This window comes from Homo sapiens, chromosome X (assembly GCF_000001405.40).
Source record: "Homo sapiens chromosome X, GRCh38.p14 Primary Assembly".
In the NCBI taxonomy this organism is placed as follows: Eukaryota; Metazoa; Chordata; class Mammalia; order Primates; family Hominidae; genus Homo; species Homo sapiens.
In genome coordinates, this window is record NC_000023.11 from 24,079,001 (window position 1) to 24,106,711 (window position 27,711).

Sequence of the window (27,711 nt, forward strand, 5' to 3'; positions counted from 1 at the left end):
TACAGATAGGAAGTAAATGGACCTTATTTTAATAGAACTTGAAGCCAGAGCAGTGATTCTTAGCAAGAGATGTACCTAGTTGAGAATGTGCCTGTAATGTTTCTCATGAAAGTACATTACAGCCAGGTGTGGTGGCTCACGCCTGTAATCCCAGCACTTTGGGAGGCTGAGGTGGGCGGATCATGAGGTCAGGAGTTCGAGACCAGCCTGGCCAACATGGCGAAACCCTGTCTCTACTAAAAATACAAAAGTTAGCCGGGTGTGGTGGCAGGTGCCTGTAATCCCAGCTACTCTGGAGGCTGAGGCAGGGGAATCGCTTGAACCCAGGAGGTGGAGGTTGCAGTGAGCTGAGGTCACACCATTGCACTCCAGCCTGGGTGACAAGAACAAGACTCCATCTCAAAAAAAAAAAAAAAAGTATATTGCATATGTAAATCCTCTTGGCTCTACTGTCAAGATATTTTCAAAATCTTTTTAGTTCTGATCACTTCCACTGCTACCACCTTAGTCAAAGCCATCAGTGACTCTCACCTGGACTAGCCTTCTAACTGTCCTGCTTCTGCACTTGCCCTGCTGCAGTCTGTTCTCAACACGATAGCCAGAGTCCCTGTTTTTTAGAGAATACTACATACAACTCTGTGATAGTAAGGTGTAAAAGTTAGCCTCACAGAAACGGGGGGCATGAAGACAGACTAGCTGTGACATCTTCCAGGTGGTTTTGAAGCCGACCTGGAAAGCTCTCGGTCTCATATCTGACTTCCAAAGAGGATGCCTGTGTGTGCTTGTTTTTGCAGAGGCAACGTGACTTTTATTCTAATAAGGATATGCAAATAACTGCACTCATAAAACAAATCCCATTTCTAGAAAAACTTGATAGGGTGATGATTCCAGTGAAATGGGTACTTTTTGGAAATAGTATTTTAAAAATTTTAATTACCTAAAATGAAGCAGATACCCTTAAAAGATTAATAACCATGAAACAGGTGATTCAGAAAGTACCTCTGCTGGGCCGGGCACGGTGGCTCACACGTGCAATCCCAGCACTTTGAGAGGCCGAGGCGGGTGGATTACCTGAGGTCAGGAGTTTGAGACCAGCCTGGCCAACATGGCGAAATGCCGTCTTTACTAAAAATACAAAAATTAGCTGGGTGTGGTGGCATGCGCCTGTAGTCCCAGCTACTCAGGAGGCTGAGGCAGGAGAATCGCTTGAACCTGGGAGTTGGAAGTTGCAGTGAGCTGAGATTGTGCCACTGCACTCCAGCCTGAGTGACAGAGTGAGACTCCATCTCAAAAAAATAATAAATTACCTCTGCTGGCCGGGCGTGGAGGCTCACGCCTGTAATCCCAGTACTTTGGGAGGCCAAGGTGGGTGGATCACTTGAGATCAGGAGTTTTGAGACCAGCCTGGCCAATATGGTAAAACCCCGTCTCTACTAAAAATAGAAAACTCAGCCGGTTGTGGTGACACATGCCTGTAGTCTCAGCTATTTAGGAAGCTGAGGCAGGAGAATTGCTTGAACCTGGGAAGTGGAGGTTGCAGTGAGCCGAGATTGTGCCACTGCACTCCAGCCTGGGCGTTGCAGCGAGACTCAAAAAAAAAAAAAGTATTCTGTTCTCACTACTCAAACTTGGGAGAGAATACTACACAAAAACAACAACAAAACACCAGAAAAACCAGAGACCATTCTCACAAAAAGATACAAAGTCCATACTAAAATGTAATAAATCCAGCAGTGTATTAAAAATAATGTGTATACAGGGATGTATTATAGGTTGAAAGAAAAAGTACCTTGGAGATGTGTTTGATACAGTTCAAAGTGATTTTTAAAAGCGAGATGGTGTAAAGGAAACAATGAGTACTAAGCAAAGAACTTTCAGAATCATTTTCAGTAATGAGACATTGGAGCACGGTAACATCTTGCCATAATGTGATAGGTGAGGTAAATATTTCATTTGGGTAAAATGGGTTATTGTGAGGTTGATGAAATAACTAGGATGCAGTTCAGAGCGTGAGAAGCAATAATTTGCATTATATCAGAATTCATCACCTCTGTTCTCATTAAGGCCTGAAGAATGTCAGCTACTACTACAATTCTACAACATTGTTCTCTGGGGCTTAGCAAATGATACAAGTACTGGGAATGGAAGAGACTGAATGTAAGATAGTTTACCTCATGGAGAGATTGAATGTTATTCACAAAGTGTAAGATAGTCCACCTAGAAAATACATCCCAGAAACTGAAAAACTGCTAGGAGAGTTCAGTAAGGTGACAAAGTTCAAGATAAATATGCAAAATTATTTAATATTAGTTTCCTTATTCACCACACACACACACAAATCAAAATGTGATAGATGTAAACTACCCAGGTATACATTTAACAGAAATACTCAAGATATGTATGAATAAAACACATTTTGCTAAAGAAGAGATGAATTATAAGGAAAATATAATTGGATGGGATCAATGTACAGATGACCATGCCATTTTTTTCTACAAATTAAATCTAATCCAGAAAGGCTTAAAAAAAATTTCTTTTTATTGAGACAGGGTCTCACTGTAGTACAAGACGAGGTAGAGCCCAGGAGTTTGAAACTAGCCTGGGCAACATAGGGAAACCCGGTCTCAAAAAAAAAAAAAAAAAAAAAAAAATTGGCTGGGTGTTGTGGCGTGTGCCTGTAATCCCAGCAACTCAGAAGACTGAGGTGGGAGGATCGCTTGAACCCAGGAGACAGAGGTTGCAGTGAGCCCAGGTGGCGCCACTGCACTTCAGCCTGGGTGACAGAGCAAGACTCCCGTGTCTCAAAAAAAAAAAAAAAAAAAAGATGGGAGTGGTGCCTCGTGCCTGTAATCGCAGCACTTTGGGAGGCTGAGGAGGGTGGATGGCTTCAGGCCATGACTTCCAGACCAGCAGTGGCAACATGGCAAAACCCCATTTCAAAAAAAAAAAAAAAGCCAGGCATGGTGACCCTGCCTGTAGTCCCAGCTACTCGGGAGGCTGAGGTGGGAGGATGGCTTGAGCCCGGGAGTGGCGCTTGCAGCGAGCCTAGATGGCGCCATTGCACTCCAGCCCAGCCTGAGTGACAGCAAGAACCTATCTCGAAAAATATAAAAAATATTTATAATCAATGTAGGCGAGGATATATTACCGTTATATCTATCAAGTTTTAAAATGTCTCACCTTTTGACCGAGAATTCATATCTGAGAATTAATCATAAATATTTGCTCGTGTTAATAAAGATATATGTAGAAGGATGTTCATTCCAGCATTGTTTACTTATTTTATTTTATTCCTATGTTGCCCAGGCTGGTCTGGAACTCTTGGCTTCAAGTGATCGTCCCACCTCAGCCTCCCAAAGCATTGGGATTACAGGTGCGAGCCACCAGGGCTGGGCCCCAGCATTGTTTATTATAGCAACTATTGCAAGGCACCTAAATGTTAGTCAAAGGGAATGATTTAAAATATTTTGTGGTGAATTCATTCTATTATGAAGTAAAGCTATGAGCTACCTTTGATTCAGCCTGGTTAAAATTAAAAAGTGAAAATACTGGTCCCAAAAATATTTCATGGGAATCCCTGAGAGGAAATAATTTTTGACTTAAGGTGATTTGAGAATTCAAAATGCAGTATTGATTATTGCTGACTCAACAAGAAGGAAGAGGAATGTAAAAGGAACATGCCCCACATCAGTATTAGCACTGAATCTGTTCGAATCACAACTTTATTTTCTCATACAGCCTCATAGGGAGAAATCTAACACTAACAAGTGATTTATGCCACTTCTATAGTAGTGAAATTATACGTTACAGTTAATCACTTTTGAGCTGGTGTGTCCATTACAGTTTATTTTCTTACAACACATGCTTTCTATCAAATATAAATTCCTTTTACTTTTTTTTTTTTTTTTTTTTTGAGACGGAATCTCGGTCACCCAGGCTGGAGTGCAGTAGCGCGATCTTGGCTCACTGCAACCTCTGCCTCCTGGGTTCAAGTGATTCTTGTGCCTCAGTCTCCCGAGTAGCTGGGACTACAGGCAGGCACCACCACGCCCAGCTAATTTTTGTATTTTTAGTAGATATGGGATTTCACCATGTTGGCCAGGCTGGTCTCAAACACCTGACCTCAGGTGATCTGCCTGCCTCTGCCCCCCAAAGTGCTGGGATTACAGGCGCGAGCCACTGTTCCTGGCCTAAATATAATTTCCTATTACAAGTGAATGTTGAATAATATATTCTCCACAAGAAACATATAAAAAGACTTAGCAGGGCCGGGCGCGGTGGCTCACGCCTGTAATCCCAGCACTTTGGGAGGCCGAGGCGGGCGGATCACGAGGTCAGGAGATCGAGACCATTCTGGCTAACACGGTGAAACCCCGTCTCTACTAAAAATACAAAAAATTAGCCGGGCGTGGTAGCGGGCGCCTGTAGTCCCAGCTACTCGGGAGGCTGAGGCAGGAGAATGGCGTGAACCCGGGAGGCGGAGCTTGCAGTGAGCCGAGATCGCGCCACTGCACTCCAGCCTGGGCGACAGAGCGAGACTCCGTCTCAAAAACAAAAAAAAAAAAAAAAAAGACTTAGCAGGAGGCCAGGCGCGGTGGCTCACGCCTGTAATCCCAACGCTTTGGGAGGCTGAGGCAGGTGGATCACCTGAGGTCAGGAGTTCGAGACCAGCAGGCCAACATGGTGAAACCCCGTCTCTACTAAAAATACAAAAATTAGCCTGGTGTGGTGGTGGGCGCCTGTGATCCCAGCTACTCAGGAGGTTGAGGCAGGAGAATCGCTTGAACCTGGGAGGCGGAGGTTGCAGTGAGCCGAGATTGCGCCATTGCACTCCAGCCTGGGTGACAAGAGGGAAATTCCGTCCCAAAAAAAAAACAAAAAACAAAACAAAACTTAGCAGGAATCATAACTTTGAGTATTATACTCCAAAAGAGATAACAATAAATCCTTTAAAAATAATACGTATACTGGGATAGGGCCGGGTGCGGTGGCTCACGCCTGTAATCCCAGCACTTTGGGAGGCCGAGGCGGGCAGATCATGAGGTCGGGAGTTCGAGACAAGCCTTACCAACATAGTGAAACCCCATCTCTACTAAAAATACAAAAATTAGCCGGGTGTGGTGGTGCGCACCTGTAATTCCAGCTACTCAGGAGGCTGAGGCAGGAGAATCACTTGAATCTGGGAGGTGGAAGTTGCAGTGAGCAGAGATTGTGCCACTGCACTCTAGCCTGGGCAACAGAGAGAGACTCCCATTTCAAGAAAAATAAATATAATAATAATAATATGTATACCGGGCTGGGCATGGTGGCTCATGCCTGTAAACCCAGCACTTTGGGAGGCCGAAGTGGGTGGATCATTTGAGGTCAGGAGTTCGAGATCAGCCTGGCCAACATGATGAAACCCCATCTCTGCTAAATACAAAAATTAGCCGGGCATGGTGGCGCATGCCTGTAGTCCCAGCTTGGGAGGCTGAGGCAGGAGAATTGCTTGAACCTGGGAGGTGGAGGTTGCAGTGAGCCAAGATCGCATCACTGCACTCCAGACTGGGTGACAGAGCGAGACTCCGTCTCAAAAAAAAAAAAAAAAAAAAAAGTATACCAAGAATGTCACAGTAGGAGCTTCAACAAGCCAAGAACACACTAGTGATAGTAAGATGCAGAATATGTATAGCTCAAACTTAAACAAGACCTTTGTCCATTGCAGAATCTCCTAAGTCATGATTTGTAATCATCTTCAACTTTCTCCAAAGGGTTGCACAATTACAACAAAACCCATTAGTCCAGTGGTTTGCATTCTCAAAAGCATAACCCAACAGTCTTTTGCTTGTCTCAAAGTTTCTCATCAAATATGACTCATGGCCTATTTTTCTTTTTTTCTTTTGAGACGGTGTCTCGCTCTTTCGCCCAGGCTGGAGTGCAGTGGCGCGATCTGAGCTCACTGCAAGCTCCGCCTCCCGGGTTCATGCCATTCTCCTGCTTCAGCCTCCCAAGTAGCTGGGACTACAGGCGCCTACAACCACGCCCGGCTAATTTTTTGTATTTTTAGTAGAGACGGGGTTTCACTGTGTTAGCCAGGATGATCTCGATCTCCTGACCTCTCCTGATCTGCCTGCCTCAGCCTCCCAGAGTGCTGGGATTACAGGCGCTCATGGCTTATTTTTCAAAAATTTTATTAGTCTTTTCAAAAGATCAATGCTGTGGCTTGAATGTTCCTTCCAAAACTCATGTTGAAATTTCATCATTGTAACAGTGTTGAGAGGTGGGACCTTTAAGAGGTGATTAGGTCATGAGGGTTCTGCCCTCATAAATGGATTAATGCCTTCATCTCGAGCGTGGGTTGGTTATCACGAGAGTGGGTTCCTGTTACCATGAGGCAAGAAGACCCTCACTAGATGTTGACACCATGCTTTTGGACTTTCTAGCCTCCAGAACCGTGAGCCAAATAAGTCTCTTTTCTTTATAAATTACCCAGACCGTGGTATTCTGTTGCAGCAACAGAAAGCAAAGACAACCAGTTTTTGAATTTGTTAAAGCCTCTCCATTGTACTTTTAACTTCACTGATTTCTTAACTTTCTCATTTCCTTTCTTCTACTTTACTTGGGTTTATCATGCTATTTTTTTTGTAAGTACTTAACTCACTAATTTTATTTTATTTCCACCCCCCCCCCACGACACAGGTCTCCCTCTTTTGCCCAGGCTGGAGTGCAGTGGCACAACCAAGGCTCACTGCAGCCTCAACCTTTCCAGACCCAGGTGATCCTCCCACCTCAGCCTCCCAAGTAGCTGGGACTACGGGTGCATGCCACCATGCCCGGCTAAGTTTTGTATTTCTTGTAGAGACGGGGTTTTGCCATGTTACCCAGGCTGGTCTCGAACTCTTGGGCTCAAGTGATCCACCCACCTTGGCTTCCCAAAGTGTTGGGATTACAGGCGGGAGCTGCTGCACCCAGCCCATTAATTTTCTTTTAGCCCTTTTTCTAGTATAAACATTTAAGGCTAAACATTTCCCACTCGGTACTTCCTTAGTTGAGCAAATAAGATGTTATTTATTTAGGTATAATTTATATTCAGTAAAATGCACAAATCTTGAATATTCATTTTGATGAGTTTTTTTTTGTTTTTTGTTTTTTGTTTTTTTTTTGAGATGGAGTCTTATTCTGTAACCCAGGCTGGAGTGCAGTGGCACGATATCGGCTCACCGCAACCTCCACCTCCCAGGTTCAATCAATTCTCCTGCCTCAGCCTCCCGAGTAGCTGGGATTACAGCGCCTGCCACCACACCCGGCTATTTTTTTGTATATATTTAGTAGAGACAGGGTTTCACCATTTGGGCCAAGCTGGTCTTGAACTCCTGACCTTGTGATCCACCCGCCTCGGCCTCCCAAAGTGCTGGGATTACAGGCGTGAGCCACTGTGCCCAGCCGATGAGTTTTGATAATTGTATACACCCTTGTATCCTGCAGCCTAAACAAGATACAGAACATTTCCATCACCCCAGAGAATTCCCTTATCCTTCTACAATATGTCGTCTTTTGGCATCTGGCTTCTTCCACTTAAAAAAAAATTTTTTTTTTTTGAGACAGTCTGACTCTGTCACCTGGGCTGGAGTGCAGTGGTGCGATATTGGCTCACTGCAACCTCCGCCTCCCGGGTTCAAGTGATTCTCCTGCCTCAGCCTCCCAAGTAGCTGGGATTACGGACATATGCCACCATGCCCAACAAATTTCTGTATTTTTAGTAGAGACGAAGTTTCACCATGCTGGCCAGGTTGGTCTTGGACTTCCGACCTCAGGTGATCTGCCTGCCTTGGCCTCCCAAAGTGCTGGGATTACAGGCATGAGCCACTGTGCTCGGCTGTATGTTTTAATTGCTTTAAGTAGATTCCTAGGAGTGAAATGTTGGGTTGTGTGGTAAGTCTATGTTAAACTTAGAAACTGCTAAATGTTTGCAAAGTGGCTGTGCTATTTTATTTTATTTTATTTTATTTGGGACGGAGTCTTGTTCTGTCACCCAGGCTGCAGTGCAGTGGCATGATCTTGGCTTACTGCAAACTCTGCCTCCCGGGTTCAAGCGATTCTCCTGCCTCAGCCTCCTGAGTAGCTGGGACTACAGGTGTCCGCCACCATGCCCAGCGAATTTTTGTATTTTTAGCAGAGGCGGGGTTTCACCGTGTTGGCCAAGCTGGTCTCAAACTCCTGACCTCAAATGATCCACCCACCTCAGCCTCCCAAAGTGCTGGGATTACAGGCATGAGTTACCATGCCCAGCCAGGCTGTGCCATTTTATATTCCTATCAACAATAGAGCAGGGTTCCAGTTTCTCAATATCCTCTCTAATACTTGGTAATTTTTTTTATTACAGTTGCCCCCCCTTACCTGCAGGGCATATATCCCAAGACCCTCAGTGAATCCCTGAAACAGTAGCTAGTACCAAATCCTATATATACTATATTTTTTGATCTGATAACCAAGATGGCTACTAGGTGATTAACGCACAGATAGTATGTACAGCATGGATATGCTGCGCAAGGGGATGGTTCACACCCTAGGCAAGACAGAGTGAGATGGCATGATATTTTATCATGCTATTCAGAACAGCACACAATTCAAAATTTATGAATTGCTTATTTCTGGAATTTTCAATTTAATATTTTCAGACTGGTTTACCACAGGTAACTGAAACCTTGGAGATAAGGGGGGATTACTGTATAACCCCCCCTTTTTTTTGAGACAGGGTCTCACTGTGTTGCCCGTGTTGGGGTGCAGTGGCACAATCTCGGGTCACTGCTACCTCCGCCTCCTGGGTTCAAGCAATTCTGCTTCAGCCTCTGGAGTAGCTGGGATTACAGTCGCCTGCCACCCCGCCTGGCTAATTTTTGTATTTTTAGTAGAGACGGGATTTCACCATGTTGGCCAGGCTGGTCTCGAACTCCTGACCTCAAGTGATCCGCCTGCCTTGGCCTCCCAAAGTGCTGGGATTACAGGTGTGAGCCACCATGCCAGGCCTGTATAACCCTTTTTTTTTTTTTTGCGACTGAGTCTCGCTCTGTCACCTAGGCTGGAGTGCAGTGGCACGATCTTGGCTCACTGCAACCTCTGCCTCCCTGGTTCAAGCGATTCTCCTGCCTCAGCCTCCTGAGTAGCTGGGATTACAGGTGCCTGCCACCACGTCCGGCTAATTTTTTGTATTTTTAGTAGAAACAGGGTTTCACCGTGTTAGCCAGGATGGTCTCGATCTCCTGACCTCGTGATCTGCCCACCTCGGCCTCCCAAAGTGCTGGGATTACAGGCGTAAGCCACCACGCCCAGCCCTGTATAACCATTTTAGTGGGTATATAGTGGTATCTTGTTGTGGTTTAAATTTGCATTTTCCTAATGACTAATGATGTTGAGCACTTTTCATGTGCTTCTTAGCATATAACTTCTGGAAGTTTTATAGTTTTGGTTCTATTGTAAGTTAATTTTTCAATGGTGTGGGGTAAAGGTCTACGTTCATTTTTAAATTTTTATTTATTTTGTTTTATTTTGTAGAGATGTGGTCTCACTATGTTGCTCAGGCTAATCTCAAACTCCTGGCCTCAAGTGATCCTCTCGTCTCAGCCTCTCAAACTGCTGGGATTACAGGTATGAGCCATCACACCCAGCCTAATTTTATTTTTAAATGGATGTCTAATTCTCCCAAAGCATTTGTTGAAAAGATTATTCTTTCCCCACTGGATTATCTTGGCATCTTTATTGAAAATCAGTTGACATAAGTATAAAAGTTAATTTCTTTAATTCTACTCTATTGATCTATATGCCACACTGTCTTGATTATTGTGACTTTACAGGGAGTTTTGAAATTGGAATTGGGTAACGTAAATCCTTCAGCTTTGTCTTCTTTTTTTGTTCAGAACTGTTTTGGCTATTTGAAATCCTTTGAATTCCCATATAACTTTTAGGATCTGCTTGTCAAATCCCCCCCCCCCCAACAAAAAAAACCCAAACCTTCTGGAATTTTGTTAGGGATCACACTAAATTTCTAGATCCAGTTTGGAGGGAAGTACCATCTTGACAATATTGATTCTTCTAATTCATAAACATGGGATGTCTTTTAGTAGAGACGGGTTTCACCAGGTTGGCCAGGCTGGTCTCAAACTCTTGACCTCAGGTGATCTGCCCACCTCAGCCTCCAAAGTGCTGGGATTACAGGCATGAGTCACCGCTCCAGGCCATGAAATTTATTTCTTTATTTTTTTCCCAAGACAGAGGCTTGCTCTGTTGCCCAAGCTGGAGTGCTGTGGTGCAATCTTGGCTCACTGCAACCTCTGCCTCCCGGGTTCAAGCAATTCTCCTGCCTCAGTCTCCCGGGTAGCTGGGATTACAGGCCCCCACCACCGTGCCTGGCTAATTTTTGTATTTTTAGTAGAGATGGGGTTTCACCATGTTGGCCAGGCTGGTCTCGAACTCCTGACCTCGTGATCCACCTGCTTCAGCCTCCCAAAATGTTGGGATTACAGGCGTGAGCCACCACGCCTGGCCGAAATGTATTTCTTAAATAATAAGACTTGAAAGTTGAAATTACTCCCTGAACCATGGGCTGCAGAATGGATGCTGTGTTAGCAGGCATGAAAACAATATTAGGGCTGGGTGTGATGGCTCACACCTGTAATCTCAGCATTTTGGGAGGCTGAGGTGGGAGGTTCTCTTGAGCCCAGGAGTTTGAGACCAGCCTGGGCAACGTAGGGAGGCTCCATCTCCACAAAAAATTAAAAAATTAGCCAGGTGTGGTGACATGGGCCTGTAGTCCTAGCTACTCAGGAGCCTGAGGGGAGAGGATGGCTTGAACACAGGAGATTAAGGCTGTAATGAGCTGTAATTGTGCCACTGAACTCCAGCCTGGGTGACAGAGAGAGATGCTGTCTGAAAAAAAAAAGATTAATCTCCTTGTACATCTTCATCAGGGCTCTTGGGTGACTAGGTGCATTGTCAGTGAGCAGTAATATTTTGAAAGGGATTTTTTTTTTTTTGAGACAGAGTTTCACTCTGTCACCCAGGCTGGAGTGCAGTGGCCCGATCTCGGCTCACTGCAACCTCTGCCTCCTGAGTTCAAACGATTCTCCTGCCTCAGCATCCTGAGTAGTTGGGACTACAGGTGCACGCCATCATGCCGGGCTAATTTTTGTATTTTTAGTAGAGACAGGTTTTCACCATGTTGGCCAGGCTGGTCTCGAACTCCTGACCTCAGGTGATCCGCCCTCCTGGGCCTCCCAAAGTGCTGGGATTACAGGCATGAGCCACGGCGCCTGGCTGAAAGGGATGTTTAAAAAATAAGCAATAGGTCTTGACATTGGGCTTAAAATATTCAGTAAACCATGCTGCTAATAGATGTGCTGTCATCCAGGTTTTGTGATTCCATTTATAAAGCACAGGCAGAGTAGATTTAGCACAATTCCTTAGGGCCCTAGGATTTTATTTTATTTTTTTTAGATAGGGTCTTACTCTGTTGCCCAGGCTGGAGTGCAGTGGCATAATCATACCTCACTGCGGCCTGAAACTCCTGGGCTCAGAGAATCTTCCTGCCTCAGCCTCCTGAGTAGCTAAGGCTACAGGCATGCTCCATCATGCCTAATTTTTTAAATTTTTTGTAGAATTGGGGTCTTGCTATGTTACCTGGGTTGGTCTCCAAACTCCTGGCCTCAAGGGATCCTTCTACCTTGGCCTCCCAAAGTGCTGGGCTTATAAGCATAAGCCACCACACCAGGCCCAGGCCCAGGCCCTAGGATTTTTGAAATGGCCAGAGTTTGGCTTCAAGTTAACGTCATCAGCTATTAATACATTAGCCCCTAGGACAAGAGAGTCAGCCTGTCCTTTGAAGCTTTGAAGCCAGGCATTGACGTCTCTCTAGCTATAAACGTCCTAGATGGTATCTTCTTCAAATAGAAGACTGTTTTGTCTACATTGAAAATAAATCTGTTGTTTAGTGTAGCCACCTTAATCAATTAGCTAGATCTTCTGGATAACTTGCTGCAGCTTCTAAATCAGCACTTGCTGGTTCACTTTGTACTTTTTTGTTATGGAGATGGCCTCTTTCCTTAATCCTCATAAACCAATCCCTGCTGGCTTCAAACTTTCCTTCTGCAGTTTCCTCACTTCTCTCAACTTTCATAGAATTGAATGGAGTTTGATTTAAGGAAATGCTGTAACTGGTTTGATCTTGTATCCAGACCACTCAAACTTTCTTCTTATTAGCAGTAAGGCTGTTTTGCTTCTTATCATTCATGTGTTTGCTGGAGTAGCACTTTTAATTTCCTTCAAGAAGTTTTCCTTTGCATTCACAACTTGGCTGACTGTTTGGCACAGGAAGCTTAGCTTTTGGCCTGTCTTGGCTCTCCACATGCCTTCCTCACTAAGCTTAATCATTTCTACCTTTTGATTTAAAGTGAGAGATACGTGACTCTACCTTTCGCTTGAACATTTAGAGGCCATCGTTGGGTGATTAATTGGCCTATTTTCAATATTATTGTGTTTCAGCAAATAAGGAGGCCCCAGGAGAGGGCGAGGGGTGGCCAGTGGGTGGAACAGTCAGAACACACATAACGTTTATGGGTACATAGACATGGTTCCTGGTGTTCCAAAACAATTACAGTAGTGACATCAAAAATCACTGATCACAGATCACCATAACAGATATAATAATAATGAAAAGACTTGGAATATTTTGAGAATTACCAAAAATGTGACCCAGAGACATTAAGTGAGCACACACTGTTAAAAACATTGGAACTGACAGACTTGCTTGACGCAGGGTGGCCACAAACCTTTCATTTGTAAAAAATGCAATATCTGCAAAGTGCAATAAAGCAAAGTGTAATAAAATGATGTATTCTGCATAATTTAGATTTTCTATTGCTTGTTGAGTTAATTTTGGTAATTTGTATATTTTCAGGAATTTATTCATGTCATCTGAGTTTTCTAATGTGTGGGCATAATATTATTCATAGAATGCCTTTTAATCCTTTTATGTGAAGTGTAGGTAGTGCTGTAAGATGTTGTTCCTGATTTTGGTAATTTATGTCTTCTCTCTTTTTTGGTTGATTTGTTTGTTTTTCTGAGTCAGGGTCTCGCCCTGTCAGGCTGGAGTGCAATGGCACGATCATAGCTCACTGCAGCTTCAAACTCCTGGGTTCAAGCAATTCTGCTGCCTCAGCCTCCCAAGCAGCTGGGACTATAGGTGTGTGCTGCCAAGCCAGGCCCTCTTCTCGATTTTTTTTTTTTTTTTTACATGGCAGAGTCTCGCTCTGTTGCCAGGCTGGAGTGCAGTGGCACGATCTTGGCTCACTGCAATCTCCACCTCTCGGGTTCAAGCGATTCCCCTGCCTGGGCCTCCCGAGTAGCTGGGACTACAGGCGCCTGCCCCCCCATCGCCTGGCTAATTTTTTGTATTTTCAGTAGAGACGGAGTTTCACCGTGTTAGCCAGGATGGTCTCCATCTCCTGACCTCGTGATCTGCCCGCCTCAGCCTCCCAACGTGCTGGGATTACAGGCGTGAGTCACCGTGCCCGGCCTTCTCGCTTTTTTATGTGGCAATCTAGCAAAGGTTTGTCAATTTTCTGGATCTTTTCAAATAACCAACGTTTCATTTATTTGATTTTCTCTATTTTTTTTTTCTGTTTTCTGTGTTTCAGTTCTCACCTTTATTACTTTATTACTTAACATTTTATTTATTATTCTTTATTACTTCTTTCTTATATTCACTTCTGGTGTAGTTTGCTCTTCTGTTTTCTAGTTTGTTAAGGTAGAAGTATAGGTTATTGATATGATGCCTTCTTTTCTGATACAGGCATTTAAAGATGTAAATTTCTCTCTAAGCACCACTTTCTCTGTATCCCATCCTATTTTTAAAATTAAACTTTTTTTTTTTTTTGAGACAGAGTCTCGCTCTGTCACCCAGGCTGGAGTTCAGTGGCTCAATCTCTGCTCACTGCAAGCTCCGCCTCCCGGGTTCACGCCATTCTCCTGCCTCAGCCTCCGGAGTAGCTGGGACTACAGGCGCCCGCCACCATGCCCGGCTAATTTTTTGTATTTTTAGTAGAGACGGGGTTTCACCGTGTTAGCCAGGATGGTCTCGATCTCCTGACCTCGTGATCCGCCTGCCTTGGCCTCCCAAAGTGCTGGGATTACAGGCTTGAGCCACTGCTCCCGGCCCAGCAGAGATAATTTCTGAATCACCCCGCCAGGCGCGGTGGCTCATGCCTGTAATCCCAGCACTTTGGAACGCCGAGGCAGGCGAATCACGAGGTCAAGAGATCGAGACTATCCTTGCTAACACGGTGAAACCCCGTCTCTACCAAAAATACAAAAAATTAGCCGGGCGTGGGGGCGGGCGCCTGTAGTCCTAGCTGCTCGGGAGGCTGAGGCAGGAGAATCGCTTTAACCCGGGGGGCAGAGGTTGCAGTGAGCCGAGATCTCGCCACTGCACTCCAGCCTGGACAACAGAGCGAGACTCCGTCTCAAATAAATAAATAAATAGTGCCTGGCGCGGTGGCTCACGCCTGTAATCCCAGCACTTTGGGAGGTCGAGGCGGGCAGATCACGAGGTCAGGAGATCGAGACCATCCTGGCTAACACGGTGAAACCCCGTCTCTACTAACAATACAAAAAATTAGCCGGGCGTGTAGGCAGGCACCTGTAGTCCCAGCTACTTGGGAGGCTGAGGCGGGAGAATGGCGTGAACCCGGGAGGCGGAGCTTGCAGTGAGCCGAGATCGCACCACTGCACTCCAGCCTGGGCGACAGAGGGAGACTCCGTCTAAAATAAACAAACAAACACAAATAAACAAATGTTTTAAAGGAGATAATTGTGGACTCACATGCTGTCCTAAGAAATCATATACAGCAGGCATCCCCAGCCCCGGAGTGGCGGACCTTTACCGGTCCTTGGCCTGTTAGGAACCCAGCCGCACAGCAGGAGGCGAGCGAGCATTAGATTCTCATAGAAGGGAGAACTCTCCGCATGCGAGGAATCGAGGTTGCACACTCCTTATGAGAATCTAACTAATGCCTGATGATCTGAGGTGGAATAGTTTCATCCTGAAACCACCCACCCCCTATCTGTGAAAAAATTTGCTTCCACAAGACAGGTCCCTGGGGCCAAAAAGGTTGGGTATCGCTCATAAGGAGTGATCCCATGTACCTTCTACACAGTGTCCACCAGTGGTAACATCTTACAAAACTGTAATACCATAGCACAACCAGGATGCTAACATTGATACAGTCAGGATACAGGACTGTTGCATCACCAAGGGTCCCTCATGTTGTCCTCATGTAGCCACGTCTGCTTTCTTCCTGCCTCACTCCTAGCAACCGCTATTCAGTTCTCCATTTCTATAATTTTGTCATTCCAAGAATGTTATATAAATTGAACTATACTTTGGGATTGGCTTTTTTTTTTCACTCAGCATAGTTCTCTGAAGAATCATTCAAATTGTTGTGTGTATCAATAGTTTAATAGTTTGTTCTTTTTTTTTTTTTTTTTGAAATAGGGTCTTGCTCTGACCCCCAGGCTGGAGTGCAGTGGTACAATCTCGGCTTACCGCAGCCTCTACCTCTGGGACTCAAGCGGTCCTTCCACCTCAGCCCCCCAGAGTAGCTGGAACTATAGGCACATGCCACTGTGCCCGGTTAATTTTTTGTAAGTTTTGTAGGGGTGGGGTCTTGCCATGTTGCCCAGGCTTGTCCCTTTTTTTTTTTTTTTCCTGAATAGTATTCTGGATGTACTATAGTTTGTTTAACGATTCACCTATTGGAGGACCTCTGGGTTGTTTCCATTTATTGCCTGTTACAATAAAGCTGCGGTATTCAGCTTAATTAAGCAAGATTAAATACATGTATAAAAAAGTAAAGCTGCTATAAATATTCATATACAGGTCTTTGAACTTAAATTTTCAGTTCTCCTGAATAAATGTCAAGCAGTACAATTCCTGGGTTGTGTGGTAGTTTTAGCATTTATTTGTTTATTCCTGGTAACTCACAGAAAAGGTAGTTTTAGTTTTTAAACATGTTTAGTTTTTAAAGAAACTGCCAAACTGTTTTCCAGAGTGGCTGTACTTTTTAACATTCCCACCAGCCATCACTACCTTTTATTTTGGCCACTCTGATAGGTGTGCAGGTGTGCAGTGATATCTCATTGTGGTTTTAACTTGCATCTCTGTAATGGCTATGATATTGAATGTCTTTTCATGGGCTTATTTGCCATCTGTATATCCTTTTTGATGAAATGACTGTTCATGTCCTTTCCTCATTTTGTAATTGGATTATTTACTTTTTTACTGTTGAGTTTTGAGATCCTAATTCTTTGTCAAATATGTGGTTTGCAAATATTTCCTTCCAGTCTGTAGACTGACTTTTTATTCTCTAAACAGGTTCTATTACAGCAAAATTTTACATTTCAATGAAGTTCAACTTACCCACTTTTCCTTGTATGATACTATGGGTGTTAAATTTAAGAACACTTAGCCTGGCTCTAGATCCTGAAGATTTTCTAGTTTTCTTTTCCCTGAAGTTTTATAGTTTTATGTTTTACATTTAAGACCATGACCCATTTTGAGTTAGTTTTTGTATAAGGTGTGCAGTTAGGTGGAGTCTCATTTTTGCCTATGAATGTATAATTTCTGTAGCACCAGTTATTGAAAAGGGTTTTTGTTAAAAATCAGTTGAGTATATTCATGTGGGCCTGTTTCTGGGTTCTCTAATCTGTTCCATTGATCTGTGTCTGTCCCTTTGCCAGTATCACACAATCTGGATTACTGTATAATAAAGCATGAAATCAGGTTGACTTATTCTTTCCCCTTTATTCATTTTTTTCAAAATTGATTTAGCTAATCTAGTTCCTTTTTCTTTCCATGTAAATTTTAGAATATGCTTGTCGGTATCAATAGAAAAATCTTGCTGGGATTTTGATAGGAATTGTATTATACCTGTATATCAATTTGAAGAAAATTGACATATTTTCTATGTTGAGTTTTCCAATCCATGGAAATATCTCTCCATTTGTTTAGATCTTCTTTTATTTATTTCTTTTATTTATTTTTTTTGAGACAGAGTCTTGTTCTGTTGCCAGGCTGGAGTGCAGTGGCATGTTCTTGGCTCACTGTAACCTCTGCCTCCCGGGTTCAAGTGATTCTCCTGCCTCAGCCTCCCGAGTAGCTGGGACTACAGGTGCGCACCACCATGCCCAGCTAATTTTTGTATTTTTAGTAGAGACGGGGTTTCACCATGTTGGCCAGGATGATCTTAATCTCTTGACCTCGTGATCCGCCTGCCTCGGCCTCCCAAAGTGCTGGGATTACAGGCGTGACATGCCACCAAGCCCAGCCTCTTTTATTTTTTTAATCGGTGTTTTGTAGTTTTCAGCATATAAGTCCTATACATGATTTGTCAGATTTATACCTGTTTTATTTTTTTGAGCAATTATAAATGATAATCTTCTCTTCTCTCCTCTCCTCTCCTCTTCTTCTTTTTTTGTTTTTTGTTTGAGAGACAGGCCCTCATTCTGGTGCCCAAGCTGGAGAGCAGTGCTGTGATCTCAGCTCACTGCAACCTCCACATCCCAGGTTCAAGGGATTCTCCTGCCTCAGCCTCCCAAGTAGCTGGGATTACTGGCGCCCACTAGCATGCCTGGCTAATTTTTGTATTTTTAGTAGAGGCAGGGTTTCACCATCTTGGCCAGGCTGGTCTCGAACTCCTGACCTCAAGTGATCCACCTGCCTCGGCCTCCCAAAGTGCTGGAATTACAGGTGTGAGCCACTGTGCCCAGCAGAGGTATTGTACTTTAAATCTTGTTGTCCATGTGTTCATTGCTAATATATAGTAATGCAATTGATTTTGTATGTTTATATTATATCCTGTGACCTTGCTGGACTCACTTATTAGTTCTAGGAGTTCTTTTGTGGATTTTCTACATAGATAATTATGTCATCTGTAAATAAGGACAGTTTTATTTCTTTCCTATTAAGATGGCTTTTATTTCCTTTTTTTTCCTTTTTAATCTTGCTGCATTGGCTAGAATGTCCAGTATTATGTTGAAGAAGGTAAATGAGAGGGGACATCCTTGCTTTGCTCCTGTTCTCAGGGGTAAAGCATTCAGCCTTTCACCAGTAAATATAATGTTAGCTACAAGTTTTCTTGTAGATATCCTTTATCAAGTTGAAGAAGTTACCCTCTGTTCCTAGTTTTCAGAGAATTTTTATCAGGAATGGGTGTTGAATTTTGTCAAATGCCTTTTCTGCATCAATCGATATGATTATGTGATCTTTCTTCTTTAGCTTGTTAATGTGGTGGCTTACTTTGACTGATTTTTGAATATTGAGCCAAATTTTCATCCATGGAAAAAACCTTACTTAGTCATGGTATATGAGCCTTTTTTTTTTTCTTTCTGTCTTTCTTTTTTTTTGAGATGGAGTCTCACTCTTTTTGCCCAGGCTGGAGTGCAATGGCGCAATCTCGGCTCACTACAACCTCTGCCTCTGGGGTTCAAGCTCCTGCCTCAGCCTCCCAACTAGCTGGGATTACAGGCATGTGCCACCATGCCTGGCTCATTTTTTGTATTTAGTAGAGATGGGGTTTCACCATGGTCAAGCTGGTCTCGAACTCCTGACCTCAGGTTATCCACCCACCTTGGCCTCCTAAAGTGCTGGGATTACAGGTATGAGCCACCATGCCCGGCTGGTGTGTAATTCTTTAAAAAAAAAATTTATTGTGGTAAAATACACATAACATAAAATGTCCAATTTTAGCCATGTGAAGTGTACAATATGACATTAAGTACTTTCACAATGTTGTACAACCATTACCACCATCTAATTCCAGCACATTTTCATCACCCCAAAAAGAAACCCTAGACTCATTGAGTAGTCACTCCTCATTCTCATTCCCCTCAGCCATTGGCAACCACTAATCTGCTTTCTGTTTATATGGATTTGCCTGCCAACTCTGGGTAATTCATATAAATGGAATCATACAATATGTGGTCTTTTGTGTCTGGTTTCTTTCACTTAGCATAATGTTTTCAAGGTTCATCTATGTTGTAGCATGTGTGAGTACATCATTCCTTTTTGCAATTGAATAATATGCCATATTTTGTTTATTTATTCATCTGTTGTTGAACATTTGGGTCGTTTCCATGTTTTGACTATTGTGAATAGTGGTGCAATGAACATTCCTATACAAGTTTTTGTTTGAACACCTGTTTTCAATTCTTTTGGGTATACACCTAGAAGCAAAATTGCTGGGTCGTGGTAATTATATGTTTTAACTTTTTAAGAAACTTCCAAAGTATTTTCCAAAGCTGCTACAGCATTTTACATGGGATTTTTTTTTCCCAGGCTGGAGTGCAGTGGCGTGATCTCGGCTTATTGCAACCTCCGCCTCCTGGGTTCAAGTGATTCTCCTCCCTCAGCCTCCCAAGTAGCTGGGATTATAGGCATGTACCACCACGCCTGGCTAATTTTTGTATTTTTTTTAGAGATGGGGTTTTGCCTTGTTAGCCAGGCTGGTCTCAAACTCCTGACCTCAGGTGATCTGCCTGCCTCAGCCTCTCAAAGTGCTGGGATTACAGGCGTGAGCGCCCAGCCTCTTACATGGGATTTTTAAGAGTAAGAATTCAATTTCTTTAAGATATATAGGACTATTCAAATTATGTATTTCATATTGGGTGCATTATTAGTTTGTGTCTTTAGGTGAATTGCTGCACTTCATCTTAGTTGTCAAAGTTTTGGCCAAGTGCAGTGGCTCACACCTGTAAATCCCAGAATTTAGGGAGGCAGAGGCAGGAGGATAGCTTCGCCTAGGAGTTCGAGACCTGCCTGGGCAATATAGCGAGACCCTGTTCTCCACAAAAAGGGGGAAAAAAAGACAAATTTTTCTGTGTAGAATTGTTTGTGGTATCCCCTTATCCTTTGATGTCTACAAGGTCTCCGGTGATATCCCCTGTTCCATTCCTGATATTGGTAGTTTATGTCCTTCCTCTCTCTCTCAACTATCTTGCTAGAGGTTTGTCAATTTTATTGGTCTTTTCCCAAGAACCCAGCTTTTTGTTCTGTTGACTTTTCTCTATTTTTTTTTTCTGATCTTATCTTTATTATTTCCTCCTTTCTGCTTTATTTGGGTTTATGTTACTCTTATTTTCCTAGGCTCTTCTATTGGGAGCTTAGATTATTGCTTTGAGATATTTCTTCCCCTCTTAATACTGCTTCAGCTAATGTTCTACAAATAATTGATAATGTATTTTCACTTTCATGCAGTTCACTGTATTCATTTTTATTTTGATAAAGGTGATTAATTTTTCTTTCCAGTTTTCCCAAAATATGTAATGTGTTTACCTTTTAATCTGTGATAAAAAACATATAAACATTTGCTATTTTAATCATCCAGCTTGTTGCTGTGAAACAGATCTCCGGAACTTTTTCATCTTGCAGATCTGAAACCCTACACCTACTAAACAACTCACCCTTCTCCCTTCCTCTTAGCTCCTGGGAACCACCATTCTGCTTTTTATTTCTATGAATTTGACTAATTTAGATACCTTATTTAAGTAGAACCGCACAGTATTTATCTTTTTTGAATTTACTGTGTTTTAAAAGTTTCCCTTGAAGTTCCCTCTTTGACTCGTGGATTATTTAGCGGTGTGTTTAGTTCCCATATGTTTCGAGATTTTGATTTCTAGTTTGATTCCGTTGTGGTCAGAGTACCACACACTCTGTATGATTCCAGTTCTTTTAAATTTATTGAGGCTTGTTTTATACCTATTGATATGCTCTATCTTGGAGAATGTTTCATGTCTACTTGAAAAGAATGTGTATTCTGAACTGGATGAGTGGACTGTTCTAAAATTGTTAGTTAGATGGAGTCAGTTGATAGTAGTATTCATTTTTTATTCCTGTTGTAACAAGTTGCCACAAACTTAGTGGCTTAAAACGACACATATTTGTTATCATATAGTTCTGGAGGTCAGAAGTTTGCAATAGGTCTCACTGGGTGAGGGGAAGATGTTGACAAGGCTGCATTCTTTTCTGGGTGCTCTAGGGGATTTTCTTGCAATTTCAGCTTCTACAAGCTGCCCCGAATTCCTTGGCTTATGGTCTCCTTCCATCTTCAAAGTCAGCAATAGGTTGCTTATGTCGTTCTCACATTACATCACTGCGACATTCACTCTTCTGCCTCCCTCTTTCACTTCTAAGGACCCTTGTGATGACATTGGGCCCACCCAGATAATCCAGGACAATCCTTCCGCCTTGAGATCTTTAACTTAATCACATCTGCAAAGTCTCTTTTATCATGTAAGATAACGTACTCACAAGTTGTGGAGATTAGGATGTGGATATTTTGGAGGGACTATGTCTACTACAATAGTGTTGTTCAAATTTTCTCTCTATGCCAGGCACAGTGTTACATGCCTGTAGTCCCAGCTACTCCGGACGCTGAAGCGGGAGGATCACTTGAGTCCAGGAGCTTCAGACCAGCCTGGGCAACATATTGAAACTCTGTCTTTTTAAAAAAAACTTTTAAAAAAGTTTTCTTCTTAAACAAAAAGTTTTCTTTTCACTCTGTTATCAAGAATGAGGTATTGTAATCTTTGCCTATTATTGCTGATTGTCTCTTTCCCCTTTGAATTCTTTCACTTTTTGCTTCATGTATTCTGAGGCTCTCATTAGGTATATATCAGTGTATAATTGTTATATCTTCCTGATGTATTGAACCTTTTATCAACATGAAATGTACCTCTTTGTCTTTAGTAATATTTCTTATCTTAAAGACCATTTTGTCTGATTTTGCTGTATACACAGTCTCAGCCAGGAATGTGCTTGCTGCAACCACAATGGCAACCCCAGACTAAGAGAGATGTATATCATCCCCTCCCACCCTTTGCTGAGATCGTCACTTCCTCTGACTGTGCTACTGTGCATGGACATTACCCACTGTTCCCAAGTGAGTGAGACCACTTTGACTATGGCAGCAAAGCTGCCAACCTCACAGCCAACCCAGCCTTAGCAGAACTTTCACGCTAAGGGAGCTGGAATCTGGGAGAGGCCCCAGGGAAGAACACTGCAGACTCCCACTCTTCTTGCACAAAGTTCAGCAATTTTTCAGGCATGACCACTTCTCAGATCATTGTACAATTGTTTTTGTCAATTTTGTCCATCTTTATAGTTACTTTTCTGGAAGAGGATTTGTCTTCCATCTTCACTGGAAGTCCTGCCTCTACTACAGTGTTGTTTTTAAAATAGATTTCTTTTTCCAGATTAAGGACATTTCCTTTTAATTCTAATTCTCTTAGAAGTTTTTCATTTAAATAATAATAATTATTATTATTGAGACTAAGTTTTGCCCTTGTTGGCCAGGCTGGAGTGCTATGGCATGGTCTCGACTCACTGCAACCTCTGCCTCCCGGGTTTAAGTGATTCTCCCGCATCAGCCTCCTGAGTAGCTGGTATTACAGGCACCCATCACCATGCCTGGCTAATTTTTTGTATTTTTAGTAGAGACAGGGTTTCACCACGTTGGCCAGGCTAGTCTCGAACTTCTGACCTCAGGTGATCCGTCCACCTCGGCTTCCCAAAGTGCTGGGATTACAGGTGTGAGCCACTGTGCCCGGCCTTAATTATTATTATTTTTTGAGACAGGGTCTCACTCTGTCACCCAGGCTGGAGTGCAATGGCACGATCTTGGCTCACTGCAACCTTCACCTCCCAGGTTCAAGTGATTATTGTGCCTCAGCCTCCCGAGTAGCTGGGACTGCAGGCTTGTGCCACCACACCCAGATAATTTTTGTATTTTTAGTAGAGACAGGGTTTCACCATGTTGGCCAGGCTGGTCTTGAACTCCTAACCTCAAGGTGATCCGCCCACCTTGGCCTCCCAAAATACTGGGATTACAGGCATGAGCCACCGTGCCCGGCCTGTTTTGTTTTAAATAATGAGTGTTTGTCTCTTCTTTATGTCACGAAATGATTATATTTTCCCTTTAATCTGTAAAATATTTTGCTAGATTTTCCGATGTTGAACCCTTCTTCATGCATTCCTCATAAAATTCTACTTAGTCATAACACATTACTTTTTATTTTTATTTATTTATTTCTTGAGACAGGGTCTTGCTCTGTCACCCAGGCTGGAGTGCAGTGGCACAATTTCGGCTCACTGCAACCTCCACCTCCCAGGCTGAAGCGATCCTTCCACCTCAGCCTCCCAAGTAGCTGGGACTAGAGGTGTGCGCCACAACAGCTGGCTAATTTTAAAAAGTGTTTTGTAGAGAGGTCTCACTATGTTGCCCAGGCTGGTCTTGAACTCCTGGGCTCAAGAGATCCACCTACCTCAGGCTTCCAAACTGTTGGGATTATAGGCATGAGCCACCGTGCCTGGCATATTATTTTTATTAGAGATGAGGTCTGCTAAAATTTGGTTTGTTACTGTTTTTTTTTTTTTTTATTAGAGTTGGGGTCTTGCTATGTTGCAATGGCTGGTCTCAAATTCCTGGGCTTAGGAGATCCTCCTGCCTCAGCCTCCAGTTAGCTGGGACTACAGGCACGCACCACTGCATCCGGCTTGTTATTTTATTTAGAAGTTTTGCATGCATGTTAATAAGTGAGATTGGTCTAAAACATTATTTTTTAACACAGTTTTGTGAATTTGATATTAAGTTTGTATTAGCTCGTAATATGGGCTGAGTAAATTTCCCACTCTTTCTGTTTTCTGAAATATGTTATTTCAGAATTATTTAATATGGAGAGATTATCTTTCCTTTGAAGGTTTGGTAAGACTTTTTAGTAAAACTGTGTGGGCTTCATATTTCTTATCGTGAGAGATACTTGATTATCAGTTCCTATTTTGGTAATCTGTATTTTTCTTGAAATCTTTCCATCGTGTCTTGGTTTTCAAATGTCCTGGGACAAGGTTGTTCACAGTGTTCTCATATGTTATTAAAAATCTCTACTGTTATCATTTGTTATATTTCCTTTCTGTTCCTATTATTGTTTATTTTCTCTCTTCTCACTCCTTTCTGATGATCAGACTTGCTGGAATTTTTTCCTTTTTCTTTTTTAAATTAGAGATGGTGTCTAACTCTGTCGCCTAGTCTAGGGTACAGTGGCAGGATCATAACTCACTGTAGCCTTGAACTCCTGAGCTCAAGTGATCCTCCTGCCTCAGGATCCTGAGTAACTGGGTTTATAGGCGACAGCCACTGTGCCCAACAATTTTTTCTATTTTAGTAGTTTTGTCAGAGAACAAGATTTTGGTTGCACTGATTGCCTTTTTCTTTCCTTTCTGTCATTAATTTCTGCTCTTATAGACTTTATACCCATCTTTCTACTTCTTTGGGGTTTACTTTTTTCAGTCTAAGATCCTGAATTGAATATATAACTCACTTATTTTCAGTCTTTTCTATTTTTCTTTTCTTTTTTTTTTTTTTTTTTTTTGAGACGGAGTTTCGCTCTTGTTGCCCAGGCTGGAGTGCAATGGTGTGATCTCCACTCACCGTAACCTCCGCCTCCCGGGTTCAAGCAATTCTCCTGCCTCAGCCTCCTGAGTAGCTGAGATTACAGGCACGCGCCACCACACCCGGCTAAGTTTTGTATTTTCAGTAGAGATGGGGTTTCTCCATGTTGGTCAAGCTGGTCTCGAACTTCTGACCTCAAGTGATCCTCCCGCCTCGGCCTCCCAAAGTGCTGGAATAACAGGCGTGAGCCACCGCGCCCGGCCCCTATTTTTGTTTTCACAACTTTTTTTTTTTTTTTTTTTTAAATCAAGCCCCTTCCCCAAGAACCAGTGGTTCAACATCCAGCCACAACAGGAACAGCCACTGGGCCCTGTCCTGTTCCTTGAGGCTTGAGGGATTATTTATTTTTGTTATTTTATTTATTTATTTTTATTTTATTTTTTGAGATGGAGTTTCACTCTCGTTGCCCAGGCTGGAGTGCAGTGGCGCGACCTCGGCTCCCTGCAACCTCTGCCTCCCGGGTTCAAGTGATTCTCCTGCCTCAGCCTCCCAAGTAGCTGGGATTACAGGCACCTGCCATCATTCCTTGCTAATTTTTGTTATTTTTAGTAGAGATGAGGTTTCACCATGTTGGCCAGGCTGGTCTCAAACTCCTGACCTCAAGTATCTGCCAGCCTCAGCCTCCCAAAATGCTGGGATTACAGGCATGAGCCACCACGCCCAGCCCTTATTTGTATTTTTTTGAGACAGAGTCTTCCTCCGTCGCCCAGGGTGGAGTGCAGTGGCATGATCTCGGCTCACTGCAACCTCCACCTCCCGGGTTCAAGTGATGCTTTTATTTTTTTATTTTATTATTATTATTTTTTTGAGACGGAGTCTCACTCCATCGCCAGGCTGGAGTGCAGTGGCATGATCTCGGCTCACTGCAACCTCCGCCTCCCAGGTTCAAGCGATTCTCCTGCCTCAGCCTCCCGAGTACCTGGGACTACAGGTGTGCACCACCACGCCCGGCTAATTTTTGTGTTTTTAGTAGAGATGGGGTTTCATCAGATTGGCCGGGATGGTCTTGAACTCCTGACCTCATGATCCGCCTGCCTCGGCCTCCCAAAGTGTTGGGATTACAGGCGTGAGCCACTGCGTCTGGCCTGGGTTGAAGCGATTCTTCTGCCTCAGCCTCCCAAGTAGCTAAGATTGCAGGTGTGTGCCACCATGCCCAGCTAATTTTTGTATTTTTGTTTTTTTTTTTCTGAGATGGAGTCTCACTCTTGTCACCCAAGCTGGAGTGCAATGGCACGATCTCGGCTCACTGCAACCTCCACCTCCCGGGGTCAAGCAATTCTCCTGCCTCAGCCTCCCAAGTAGCTGAGATTACAGGCGCCTGCCACCACTCCTGGCTCGTTTTTTGTATTTTAAGTAGAGACAGAGTTTCACCGTATTGGCGAGGCAGGTCTTAAACTCCTGACCTCAAGTGATCCGCCTGCCTTGGCCTCCCATAGTGCTGGGATTACAGGCGTGAGCCATCGTACCCAGCCTTTTATTTTATTTTATTTTATTTTATTTATTTATTTATTTTCAGATGGAGTTTCGCTCTTGTCGCCCAGGCTGGAGTGCAATGGCATGATCTCGGCTTACTGCAACCTCTGCCTCCCAGGTTCAAGTGATTCTCCTGCCTCCCGAGTAGCTGGGATTACAGGCGCCCGCCACCACGCCCGGCTAATTTTTGTATTTTTAGTAGAGACGGGGGTTTCACCACGTTGGCCAGGCTGGTCTCGAACTCCTGACCTCAGGTGATCCACCCGTCTTGGCCTCCCAAAGTGCTGGGATTACAGGCGTGAGCCACCAGGCCAGGACTTATTTTTTATTAAATACAAGTCACATACTATAAACTTACCCTTTTAAAATATATAGTTCAGTGGTTCTTAGTATATTCCCAAAGTTATGCAACCACCACCACGATCTAATTCTGAAACATGAAACCCCATATCCATTAGGCAGCCATCCCAGCACTACCTCAAACACACACCCAGCCCCTGGCACACCCTAATCTACTTTCTGTCTCTATGGATTTGCCTATTCTAGACACTTTTATTATGGATTCATATAATATGTGGCCTTTTCTGCCTGGTTTCTTTCATTTTGCCAAACGTTTTCAAGGTTCATCCATGTTGTAACAAAGTACTGCAAACTGGGTGGCTTAAAACAACAGAAATGTATTGTCTCACAGTTCTGTAGGCTGGAAGTCTGAGTTCAAGGTGTTGGCAGGAATGGCTCCTTCTGAGGGCTGTGAGGGAGAATCTGTTCCAGGCCTTTCTCCTAGCTTTTGCTGCCTTGCTGGCAGTCTTTGGCATTCCAAAGATAAGATGTGTCACCCTTATATCTTTTTTTTTTTTTTGAGAGGGAGCCTTACTCTGTCGCCCAGGCTGGAGTGCAGTGGCGTGATCCTGGCTCACTGCAACCTCTGCCTCCCGGGTTCAAGCAATTCTCCTGCCTCAGTCTCCTGAGTAGCTGAGATTAGAGGTGCCTGCTACCACGCCTGGCTAATTTTTGTATTTTTGGTAGAGACGAGGTTTCACCATTTGGGGAGGCTGGTCTTGAACTTCTGACCTCAGATGATCCGCCCTCCTTGGCCTCCCAAAGTGCTGGGATTACAGGCTTGAGCCACTGCGCCCGGCCATGTCACCGTTATCTCTGCCTTCATCTTCATGTGGCATTTTCCTTGTATGTGTGCCTGTCTCTGTGTCCAAGTTTCCTCTTTTTTAAGGACACCAGTCCTGTTGGGTTAGGACCTAACCTAATGTCCTCATTTTAACTTGATTTCCTCTGTAAAGACCATATTTCCAAATAAGGTCGCAATCTGAGATACTGGGGGGTTAGGACTTCAATATATCTTTTTGAGGGTCACAACTCAACTCATAGCAGCACTTCATTCCTTTTATTGCCAAATAATATTCGAATAATATGGATATACCACATTTTCTTTATTCATTCATTTGTTGATGGACATTTGGGTTGTATCTGCCTTTTAGCTGTTATGAGTAATGCTGCTATGAACATACAGGTTTTGTGTGGACACATATTTTTGATTCTCTTTGGTATATGCCTGGGAATAGAATTGCTGGGATGTATGGCAACTCAGTGTTTAGCCTTTGGAAGAACTGCCAGGCTGTTTTTCACAGCTGCTGCAGCATTTTACGTTGCCACTAGCAATGTAGGAAGGTTCTAATTTTTCTGCATCCTCACC

The 27,711-nt window shown here is 43.4% G+C and overlaps 2 long non-coding RNA genes across 2 annotated transcripts, besides 2 other annotated features; both read left to right on the plus strand.

Moving 5' to 3' along the window:
* Window positions 1,389-1,568: an enhancer, noted in NCBI's record as "active region_29498". NCBI's record gives its function as "activates an Ori minimal core promoter by ATAC-STARR-seq in GM12878 lymphoblastoid cells {active_cell/tissue: GM12878}" and the evidence as "EXISTENCE:reporter gene assay evidence [ECO:0000049][PMID:35858748]".
* On the plus strand, window positions 9,246-23,971 carry LOC124905261 (uncharacterized). The gene is made up of 2 exons (XR_007068415.1): window positions 9,246-9,624; window positions 21,824-23,971. It is a non-coding gene; the product is annotated as an uncharacterized LOC124905261 (long non-coding RNA).
* Window positions 13,435-16,815, plus strand: LOC124905260 (uncharacterized). Its single transcript, XR_007068414.1, has 2 exons — window positions 13,435-13,579; window positions 15,524-16,815. It is a non-coding gene; the product is annotated as an uncharacterized LOC124905260 (long non-coding RNA).
* Window positions 13,991-14,491: an enhancer, noted in NCBI's record as "H3K27ac hESC enhancer chrX:24111108-24111608 (GRCh37/hg19 assembly coordinates)". NCBI's record gives its function as "activates a minimal SCP1, AML or CMV promoter by ChIP-STARR-seq in primed H9 embryonic stem cells {active_cell/tissue: H9 hESC(primed)}" and the evidence as "EXISTENCE:reporter gene assay evidence [ECO:0000049][PMID:30033119]".
* Window positions 23,972-27,711: the final 3,740 nt, after the last annotated feature.